The sequence below is a fragment of the Homo sapiens genome, chromosome 9 (assembly GCF_000001405.40).
Source record: "Homo sapiens chromosome 9, GRCh38.p14 Primary Assembly".
NCBI classification, from domain to species: Eukaryota; Metazoa; Chordata; class Mammalia; order Primates; family Hominidae; genus Homo; species Homo sapiens.
In genome coordinates this window covers 76,788,537-76,800,759 of record NC_000009.12, presented here as the reverse complement: position 1 = coordinate 76,800,759, position 12,223 = coordinate 76,788,537, and the positions used below count along the sequence as shown (strand labels likewise).

Sequence of the window (12,223 nt, the reverse complement as noted above, 5' to 3'; positions counted from 1 at the left end):
TGCCCTTGCTTCTCTATCCATCCAGGTGAACAGGGGTGTGAGGCTCGCTGTAGAGGTGAATTCTATATCCAGAGGAGTAGGGCGCAATGTCTTCCTTTTCTGAAGGAAATTACAAAATCAAAAAATCCAAAAGTTATTTAACCTCACAGAGATTAGCAATCCATTGTCAAAACACCAAACAGCACTTTGGGCTGACAATTAAAGGTGAAAAAGAAGAGTTGGAAAATTAATCTGGATCTTTTAAATTTCAAATTGTTATTATTTTATTGCACATAAATAACAATTTTAAAAACCTCATTTACATTTTGCTTTGCTGTTTCCAAATAAATTCTCAATCATGTCTCTAATAGAAAGCTAGAGGGCTGATTAAAAAAGGATGAATTCATGTCCTTTGTAGGGATGTGGATGAAGCTGGAAACCATCATTCTGAGCAAAGTATCGCAAGGACAAAAAACCAAACACCGCATGTTCTCACTCATAGGTGGGAATTGAACAATGAGAACACTTGGACACAGGAAGGGGAACATCACACACGGGGGCCTGTCGCGGGGTGGGGGTATGGGGGAGGGATAGCATTAGGAGAAATACCTAATGTAAATGACGAGTTAATGGGTGCAGCACACCAACATGGCACATGTATACATGTGTAACAAACCTGCACGTTGTGCACATGTACCCTAGAACTTAAAGTATAATTAAAAAAAAAGAAAGAGAGAGGGCTGAGATTTTCATCTGGGGTCTTTGGTCTCTTGGCCACTGCTGCTGCCCATTCCAGATAGGTATTTGCCACTAGGGGACATTTCTAGAAAACAGGCATTTGAGCAGCGGGTCTCACAGCCTCTTTTTCTATCACCTATGGGTAGGTGGTCTAAGCCTCTTCTGTGGTCACTAAACTCTTCCTAATAAAAAATATTTTGTTCCTGTCATATTTGAGTGTCAATAAACTATAAACCATACCAAACAAGTCAGTATTAACTGCAATACAATTGCTACTAAACAAAACAGAGTTTTATGGTATCTATAAAGATATCTACAGTGATCACGCAGTTCTTTTGTTTGCCTTCTTGTTGGAGCAGAAATTTTATTGCCCTGACAACCCAGGCTTAATATACTCATGGATCAAAGTTGTTTCATGTTCTGATAACCACATGCTCTTTCTCTGGACCCAACATGATGTAACAGGGCACTTTTTATGTTTAACTTAGGACAAATGATCCTGCCTCTTTCCCCCACCATGCACACATCCTGAACATCATATTCTTCCTTGTTCAATATTAAATTAAGGCTCTGTAGTAATAATGTGTATGCTCAGTGTGGCAAAAATAAATTTTACATATTGATCAAGATTTGGCAGTACACCTATGGATTGCACATGGTACACTCATTGGAAAATCACTGATTTTTTTTTTTTTTTTTTTGAGACAGAGTTTCACTCTTGTTTTCCAGGCTGGAGTACAGTGGTGCCATTTTGGCCCACTGCAACCTCCACCTCCTGGGTTCAAGCAATTCTCCTGCCTCAGCCTTTGGAGTAGCTGGGATTACAGGCATGTGCCACCACACCCGACTAATTTTTGTATTTTTAGTAGAGATGGGATTTCACCATGTTGGCCAGGCTGGTCTCAAACTCCTGACCTCAGGCGATTCACCCACCTCGGCCTCCCAAAGTGCTGGGATTACAGGCGTGAGCCACCGCGTTTGGCCAAAAATCACTGATCTTAAATTCTGATCACATTGTCCCACATAAGAAGCCTGCCAGGGTGATCTGGACTGGCTTAAGTGTAATTCTCCAAAAAGTTCTTTTCCAAAGTTATCAGTAGGCAGGGCAGTAACTTGTGTCCCTTTTCCTCAAAGCCTCCTCTCCTGATCTTGGTCCTTGGTATCTTACTATTTCCAGGATGCAGAAGAGTCATGGGAAGTCAAATCCAATAAGAGATTCTGGACCAACTCACACCGTTTAGTATAGGACCCTTCTCCTCTTAGATCTGCAGCCTGGTTGTGTGCTTAAGGACGCTCTAATAATAGAGAAGATGGGGGAGGCTTGTGGTTTATGTGGTCATGTAAGGTGCTCTGGTGTAGGCCTCTGAGAATATGCCACTGTTTAATTTTTAGCATTTTTTTTTCATGGCAATCACTTCAAAAATGACTTTAGAAATATTTGATTGTTCATCCATGTTCATAGCAGCACTATACACAGTAGCCAAGGAAGCAACTCAAGTGTCCATTCACAGATGAACGGTTAAACAAAATGTTGTATAACATACCATGGGAGAGTACTGAGCCTTAAATAGGAAGGAAATTCTGACACGCGCTAGAACATGGATGAACCTTGAGGACTTGAGGCTAAGTGAAGTAAGCCAGATACAGAAAGGCAAATACAGTATGATTTCACTTATTGAGGTACCTAAAGTAGTCAAATTCATAAAGACAGGAACCAGTATGGTAGTTGCCAGGTGCTGGGTGAAGAAAGAAATGGACAGATGTTATTTAATGGATATTGAGTTTCATTTTACAAGATGAAAACATTCTAAACATTGGTGGCCCAGCAATGTGAATATACTTAATACTTCTGAACTAGATACCTACAAATGGTTAAGATGGTAAATTTTATGTTTTATGTTTTTTTAACTACAATTAAGAATAAGAAATTTAAAAAATAGGGTTGTTATATTGAAACTCATGAAATTCAGTTCCATGTTGCTTTAATCATGGGAGAGGGGAGAAAAGGAATTCCCTTCTGATGGTGCTTCTCATCCTATGTGTTTATCACATGGGTAAAATCTGTAAAGACAAACAGGGCAAGATTTGAACTAAAAAGTGAGCTCCAACAAAAAGCGCAGCTAAAGAGTGTCTGCTCTTAGGAAGGAGGAGGGTGGTTGCCAGGCAGCACCCATTCCTACTCCCCTTCAGACCCTGCCTGTATGTTTATGAATATATCAGGACTTCTGTTTAAAACACCGGATGGATACATCAACCCCTTCCCCTCTCTACCATTCCAGAAACATAGCACCAGAACTGCTGCTGCTTTTTAGCGGGCAATGGCTAGGCCCCTTGTGATCCTGTGTACTTGGTTGCGGGGGGCAGGGTGGGGGGCGGTTCAAGATCTATGAAAAAGACAAGTTAAAAAACCCTTGACATTTGCAAAGGAAACCACATTTCACCTATATAAACTGTATGGTAGAACTATTAAACAAAGGAAAAAGACGGCTTGGTGAATGTAACTTCTAAATTTTCAGACTTTTGGGAAACAATTTTTAAAATAATAACTATCTAGTTTTCTTTCTCTTGAATAACAATAAATAAGCATATAATTATATTATCTGGTAAAATATGCATATGTTACCAAGAAAAGAAAACTAACCAAACAAACAAACAAACAAAAACAGCTGAACTCACCCTTGACTATCATCACCTCAATCTCAAACCAGAAGTAATTGCCAATTTGGTATATCCCTTTTCAGTTCTTTTTCTGTGCATTTTTATATATTTATACCTATAGAAATATTTTTTTTCAATTATATAGAACGTAAAAGAGAAACTATAACTAATGAAATACATTCTTTCTGACCTGATAATTCCTATTACTATTTTTAAACTAAAAATAATACATATATAAAGTTAGAAAATTTTAACAGTACACAGTGATCAAAATGTAAAGTAAACCCTTTTTTCTCCCCAATTCCTCTCCCAGTAGTAACACTGTTAAATGCTTGTGTGTGTGTGTATGTGTGAGTGTGTGATTTCATTTTGGAAACAATCTCAGTAAATGGGTGTATTGGTCAGGGTTCTTCAGAGAGACAGAGCCAACAGCGTCTAGATTAATTTTGATCTGAAAGCTGGCAGGATCAAGATCCAAGAAGAATGAATGTTTCAGTTTGCATCCTAAGGCCAGAAAAGACTGAAGTTCTGCAGGAGAGGCTCCCTCTTCCTCAGCCTTCTTGTTCTATTTGAGTCTTCAGTTGATTGGATGGGGTCTACCCACACGGGGGAAAGTGGTCAGCTTTACCCGGTCTGCTAATTCCAGTGTTAATCTCATGCAGAAACACCATCAGAGACATACCTAGAATGTAATGTTTGGCCAAATGTCCGGACATCCCATGTGGCAGTCAAGTTGACACATACAAAATTAACTATGACAATTAGGAAATGCATAAATGCCAGCTGTAAGGAGGCATTCTTTCAGTCTACCCATTTTATAGTAAAACAGGTTGTGTGAGTAGCATAAAGTGCATGCCAGACACTTGTGACACCAATCAGGGGAAGAAGTGGTGGGGGCCGTGCCAAAATGAGGATCTTGATGATTCAAGTTCTTTTACAGAATCCTCTCAGATTTCTGCTTTCTCACCACGCATGTTTCTTTGCCTATCCTTCCTGGGGCATGAGGGCCTCAGGAGGAGAAGCATGTGTGCTTCTCCTGTGCCCTGGGGTAATGATCGTAGCGAGGCTTTATTTTATCAGCCCTTGTCATTTAATGATATTGTCATTGAACCAGTCCATTGCGTGGTCCCTTCTACAGTTCCTCTTCTTGCTTATTTAAAAAATTCCTTTGGAGCTAGCAAGATTTGGATCTTAGGTTGCTAATAGAAGAGTGCTGTGCGTTCTTAAGCAATTTACCTGGCAAAATTTTATGAGTGATCATATATCTTTTGTAAAGAAAAGCATTTTATTTACCCAAATTATACACAAACTTGATTTAAACATTAGAGCCTGGGTTAAACTTTGAAATGAGGCACCTGTGAAGTGAGTGATTGGAACAGTAAATTAGTTCCCTTGATTTATCAGATTCTGCAGTTGTTTTACGGTAGTCTTATAGTCCCAATACCAATATCTATCTGTTTGAGTCTTATTCTCTCAGAAATTTTCTCAATATGAAAAGTCAATGTCCAGGCAGAAGTACTTCAATATTAAATGGTTTCTGGCCATTTGTTAAAAAAGTTATGTGTGATTTTTATGTACACCTGGGGCTTTGAATTAATGGGATGTACTAACCACCAGGTATAGAAGGTGGACTACATGATTCATTAAAAGTACCGTATTTGGATCCTGTCAATAAAATTCTGTATTTTTACGGTGAACAAAATATTTGCATTTATCTCCCCTTCCTTCCTCTGCCCCTTTCTGTGCCCCCTCTTTCCCCTTTTAGGCTCGTGTACAAGAAACCATAAGGCAGAGATAACATGATCACATCACTTTTGGGAGAACATGCTCCCCCCCAGGGGCTATTAGTAACTCAAAATCAGGTTGAATCACAAACCAAGACAAGTTGAATTGTGAACTGTCTCTGGGCTGGGGCTGTTTCAAGATCCAATGGGGTCTGCTAAGATGGGATTCACAGAATGACATTGGAGGGATCAGAAATAAGACCCCTCTCAAAGGCAGGGGTCTGGGTCTAGTGCCTGACTTCTCTCAATGTTTGTCTGGGTCTCCGCAGTTTGGTGACCATAGTTATGGTGTTTTGACGGTGTGATGTCTTTGAAGCCCAGTGTTACTGATGGTAGCATTATCTAGAAGGCAGATCTGCTCTTTGGACACATGTGTGCCCGAGATACTGATAGGGTATGATACTGAGACCTAGCTAGAGTAATAGTTCATGCATATTCATTCTGGAGATTGGCCAAAGCTTCCTCTCAGCATCCGACAGCTGGAACCCAGTCACCCTGGCCAGCGTCATTCAATTAGGCCCCCATTCCCAGGTAAGGCTTCTCTGTTGTCTCTGACCATATGTTAGAGCAGTGGGAGTCCAGTAACTTCTCTTGCCTTCCTTCGTGGCAGGCAGAAGAGCATTGGAGGGTATTTTTTCCTTCTAGTAGGTCTACATCAACAGACTGATAATTCAAGTAATAATAATTATAATAATTGGTAATACATATCAAATTCTGAGTATGTTCTGGACACTTTGCTTAAAACTTAATGTGATTTGTCCTATTTAATTCTTAGGGCCACTCCATGAGGTAGTTACTTGGTATTTGCATTCCCATTATACATATATAGCAGATGACTGAGGCCTGGAGAAGGTATGTAACTTTGCTCGAGGTCGGACAGCTACTAAATGGTGAAGAAACTAAGCTTTCTTTCCAGGGATTCCCCTTCCAGGTGCTGCACTCTTTCTTTTTCTTTCTTTCTTTTCTTTTCTTTTTTTTTTTTTTTTTGAGACAGAGTCTCTCTTTGTCGCCAGGCTGGAGTGCAGTGGTGCGATCTGGGCTCACTGCAACCTCTGCCTCCGAGATTCAAGCGATTCTCTTGCCTCAGCCTCCCGAGTAGCTGGGACTACAGGCGCCGGCCACTACGCCCAGCTAATTTTTGTATTTTTAGTAGAGACAGGGTTTCACTGTGTTGGCCAGGATGACCTCGATCTCTTAACCTCGTGATCCCCCTGCCTCAGACTCCCAAAGTGCTGGGATTAGAGGCGTGAGCGACCGCGCTCGCTCGGAGGCCGCGCTCTTTGCCACCACCTTACTGCCTCCAGATACCTCCTGAGGCTGAGCCCCAGGGCCTGAGTCTGAAATCCTGGTTCCGCCATTTGCCATATCAGCATATTTATTTATTTTCTCTGAAGCACCGTATCTCGTTGGTGAAAAAGATACTTAAAAACCTAGTTCATAGGATTGTTTTTAAGATTTAGTGTAGGTAAAATTCTCAGTAGTTCCTGATATATATTAAGTGCTCAATAAATAGTAACTAGGCTTATTAAAGTAGGCCTTATTAAAACAATAAAAAAAACCTGCTTGGCTTCAGACAAAGCAAAGCATTGTTAAGAAACAAAGGGATATCTGTGGTTGCCCAAGCCCTTACTGGGTAAGTTCATAATGTCTTTATAGCCCACGCCTTTTTGAAAAGCAGGCCGGAAGAAATATCAGATTTGCTGAAATGCTATAGACCATGTTGTATGGAACAAAGAACTATGAAATGGGAATTAAAAGACTGGGATTCTAGACCTAGATTTGTAATGAACTAGCTGGGTGAACATAAGATAATTGTGTAACCTCTCTGAGCCTTTTTTTTTTCTTTTTCCTTTTTTCAAGAACAATAATGGGCAGGGTGTAGGAACAGGGCTGAAAATTAGATGTGTGTGACCTCTTGAGTAAAAACTTCTATGATTCTAAGTCTAAGCCAATTCAAACTGGTGATATGTAGTTGAGCAAATGATGCCCAGAGTTCCTGCTCCCTTCACAGTTATTTCTGGTTTGAATGGAACCTGGTGGAAGGTAAGAGAGTCACCCTTCTAAGCCAGCTGCAGGGTCTCTCAGTACAGTATCTGTTGCCATCAGTGGCTCTAATGAGATGGCCCCTAGATAGCCATAATGGACCTTAGCTTAGCTTCATTCATTAACTTCATTCACTAACATCGATTTCATTCTGTTAATCATTGAGGCAAATGTTCGTCAATCCTCCACCCCTTTACAGAACACATTTACAACTTTTGCTTGTAAACCTCCTCTTGGGTTAATAACGATCATGTTTATTGTTCATTATTATTTATTGTTCATTGTTTGCTATGTGCAGAATTATTTACATTATTTACTTAACTCTTTGTATACATATCTCTCAGTGTTTGAAACGGTGTCCCTTTATTCTACTAATTTGCCACTTCCTCCAGTATAAGAAGCCACAGTCAGGAAGCTCCTTCTGCACTCTGCTTTGCCTGTATATTATAATTGCAGAAGATGTACCAAACCCCACATGGCATAATAGACTTGGATTTGGATTCCTTATACTGGCACTTTAACTTTGGACAAATTCTTTAGCCCTAAGCATCAGTTTTGTTGCCAGTAAAATGGACTAGTAAGCCCCCCCTTTCAGGGACACCAAGGACATTAGAGAAAATGTAATTAAAATGAAGTACCTTGCTAGCATATCATGAATACTGTACTAGCATTTGCTAGATAGCTAGCATAATATTGCCTGAATCTAGAGAAACAAATATGTTTACATTAAAAGACCAAAATAAAAATAAAGTTGAGAAAATATTTGCTATTATTGGCAAATAGTAACATCTTTATGAAGAATCTTTACAAATTAATAAGAACATAGCTAAATCTTTCATTTAAAAAAGAACAAAAGACTTAAATAGCTAATAAATCTGTGAAAAAATATTTATCTTTAAGTAGTGGACAAAATGTACATTAAAACCATAATATGTTAGTTTTGCTGATAGAATTATTTATTTTTTGAATAATGCAGATGAGAATGTTGCATCCTGATGACCCGGCCTATTTCTCTCTGCCTAACAATATCACCTGGGGGGCATGTGGAGAAGCATCCTGCAGCCCTCTCATTCCTCTCGTTCTGTCCTCTGTGAGACTTTAGTCCTGACCTGCCTCAGTACCTGTATTAGTCCATTCTCACGCTGCTAATAAGGACATACCCGAGATTGGGTAGTTTATAAAAGAAAGAGGTTTAATGGACTCACAGTTCCACATGGCTGGGGAGGCCTCACAATCATGGTGGAAGGTGAAGGAGGAGCATAGTCACATCTTACATGGTGACAGGCAAGAGGGCATGTGCAGGGAACTCCCCTTTATAAAACCATCAGAGACTTATTTACTATCACGAGAACAGCATGGGAAAGAGCCACCCCCATGATTCAATTACCTCCCACCAGGCCCCTCCCACCACACATGGGAAATATAGCAGCTATAATTCAAAATGAGATTTGGGTGGGGATACAGCCAAACCATATCAGTACCCCACTTATACACTGCTCCCACCCTGGCCTCGCACAAAGGCACAGGAAACACTGATGTTGTCTACTTTCTCAGACCCTCCTTGGGAGCATGCCCCTGCATGCTCAAATCTGTCTGAAGTGTTCCCTTCCCTCCCTCCTTCTCCCCAGCCCCTGCCCTTTCTCAGGTCCTACCAGCATCTCTCCCAAGGCCTCACCAGCCTCTCAGCTTTCTTGCTTTCCTTTCGGATTCTTTCCCCCTCCCTTAGTCAGGTGCTTCTGAATCTAGTCGGGGGACAGGGTAGTCTGGCTCTTTATCTATTCTTCCAAATCCATTGTACTCCTTGAGTCCTTTCTCTGCTATGCAGTTGTATCACCTCAGCCATGATCAGTGGATGCCCCGTGGTCTTCCTTTGATGAGATAAAACTCAGGAAGTCAGTATTATTGGTACAGTATTATTGTACCAATAATAATTGGTGCAGTATTATTGTACCAATGATAATTGGTGCAGTATTATTGTACCAATGATAATTGGTGCAGTATTATTGTACCAATGATAATTGGTGCAGTATTATTGTACCAATGATAATTGGTGCAGTATTATTGTACCAATGATAATTGGTGCAGTATTATTGTACCAATGATAATTGGTGCAGTATTATTGTACCAATGATAATTGGTGCAGTATTATTGTACCAATGATAATTGGTGCAGTATTATTGTACCAATGATAATTGGTGCAGTATTATTGTACCAATGATAATTGGTGCAGTATTATTGTACCAATGATAATTGGTGCAGTATTATTGTACCAATGATAATTGGTGCAGTATTATTGTACCAATGATAATTGGTGCAGTATTATTGTACCAATGATAATTGGTGCAGTATATGGTACAGTAGTATTAATACAGTATATTACAGTATGTAGTCACCATTCTGTGCATTAGGTCCACAGAACTTACTCATCACATAGCTGAAAGTTTGTGCCCTTTGACCAACATCTCCCCATTAACTGCAATCCCTCAACCTCTGGCAGTCACTGTTCTGCTCTCTGCTGTTACGAGTTTGACTATTTTAGATTTCACGTATAAGTGAGATCATGCAGTATTTATCTAAAAGAATCAGTTTTAAACTTGAATTCCAAATAGTAGTAAAATGTGCTTTTCTTGACTTCAAAAAGTTTGGTCATTAACTGTCTTCCATTGTATTTGGAAGCCTCATTGGATTTCCAATCATGTTGTTTCTTGAGTGCTTATTGAATATGATGACACTCCAAATAAACTGAATGGAATTAATTCAAGAATAAAACATCATTTCTTGTTGTGTGTCTCAATCTGATATTTGCCAGATGGGAAACCCAGCATCATTCTCACAGCAGGTCTCATTTATGGCAAACACACATCCACATCCAGTGAATATGAGAAAGCACAACCTTTCTCCTTCTTATTTTTATAAGATCTATTGTGGACTTTTTTCCTTTGCTTTTCCTGCACCGATCCTAATTTAATTAAATGCAGCTTTCCTGGGAGTCAGGGTGGGAAGTGGGTTACTGCTGGTGGGTACAAAACAAATGGCAACTACATCAAATGGTACCTAGAGAGAGGGAGAGTAGCAGTTTTATTGTGGCCTGCTTCTTAGATTTGAGAATACAGATGTCAGAAGTGACTGATTATATGTTCTTATGTTTTACTGGCATGAAAATTCCCCATTAACTAGTTAACTAGAGGTCACTGTGGCTAGAAGTGCTGTAGTTTTCTATAATTGACATATCACTAAATAATCTATTGATTAATTCATTATTGCAACAAACTGGGCCATGTGCTAGCATGGGAATTGTTGGGACACAAAGACATGGCCTCTTTCCTCAAGCTGCTCTCAGAAGGTAGCCTAGCTTTTAGAAAACCGCCTTCTAGTAAACCTGCATGCTTACTTGGAGTATGAACAAAGTCAGCCTGGAGGGTTCAGAGGAAGCTTCATGGAGAAAAAGAGCATTCAAACCCTTGGAACAAGGACTCTTTATCAGTTCCTGCATTTTATTGGCCCATCTGGAAATTCATGTTGCAACTTCCCAAGGCTTAATTAACTTAGAAGTGGCCCCACCCCTACTACCTTTGCTTTTTGACCCTTGTTCATGATAAAGAGGGGGTTGCACATTTATCTGAGGATCTTCTTGCATCATTCTTAGAACCAGGGCCATGAGCTCCTCTAAGAAGAATCCCCTGCCCAGCCCCTCCATATCTGATGCATCATTAGGGACCACCAAGATGTTAATGAAGATTCGTAGACAATAATTCCTGGTTGTCAATCACCCAGGACTTTCAGGATGTGAGAGGAGAGAGGAGAGGCCCAGGCAGGAGAATGTTAATCAATGGTGAAGCAGAAAACTCTCCTCACTGACCATAGCCCTGTCTCCCAGCCATAAGTGTGTGGGGAAACCTTGCGGGGATGCTTGGTGGTATCTAATTGAAGAGTTCCTACCTTGCTCCTTGGTCGACTCCTAATGGAGGGCCTTCTAGGGAAGCTGCATGTGCCAGTAGTCGTCTCTGTTTTGAATATTGCTGCTGATCCACCAAGTGCTATTTGCAGAGGAGAGGCCTCCACATTGGAGCCCCCTAGAGTAACAGCTTTTATTTGGAAAGAAGGTGTGATTCCTGGATACAGTGAGAAGACCACTGGATGAGAGATTTACAGTCTGGGAGTCGAGTCTTGGCTCCATGATCTACTAGTGCCATAAACTTCAGCAAGTCAAAACCTCTTCAAGCCCCATTTCTTCTTTTGTAAAATGGGAATAATAGTGATTGCTATGGTTACATCAAAGAGTCATGATGTTTGAAAGGTCAGTGGATATGAAGCCCATCGTCACAGGTAAAACACTATCAAAGCAGGAGGAATTATCTGGAAGGTGAAGTTTCTTGATTTTTATATTGGCTCAAGATGGCAATATAAATACTTGAAGGGGCTTGTCTTGAAGCTGTGCATGCAAAGTACTTTTCACAAAAATGTAAACATATCTATTGTCCATCTGAAAATATGAGGGTGGAGGCTGAAGAAAATTATGAGGAAATACCTCAAGCTCCTACTAGGCCCTCCCTCCCACGAGTCTTCCCTGGGAGAGAAGGATCCTTGAGAGTTTGTATGATACTTGCTCTTCCTAACAAGGCACAGCCAGGATAGAGCTACCTTAACTCCATCTTGAAGCTTATATACATACCCTTTCCTGAGATTCACATTAATAAAACAGAGACACAGATTGGGACCTGACTCATTTAATTCCATGAACCAGACCTGTTTTGAGTGCTAACCAGGTGTCAAGAATTAATTAGTTTCTCTCTACTTGCAAATATGAGTCTCTCTCTCTTCTTATAAGATTTGTGATCTCTGCCATCTCCAGTCACCAGATGTGGCCCCACTCAGGTTGTCTTCATTGTCAAATTGGAATAGTGATGATAATGAACAAATTTCAAATGTTTAAGTTGTGTCAAGCACTGCTTTAAGTGCTCTTTGTGCATTTATTCAATACTTGCCACACACTGTCATTGTTGTCAACACCCCCATTTTAC

General features: G+C 40.3%; 1 protein-coding gene across 34 annotated transcripts in view; it reads left to right on the top strand.

The window, feature by feature from the left end:
* PRUNE2 (prune homolog 2 with BCH domain) overlaps positions 1-12,223 on the top strand; it is a 294,739-nt gene that overhangs the window by 105,355 nt on the left and 177,161 nt on the right. The gene's annotated exons all lie outside the window — the stretch shown is intronic.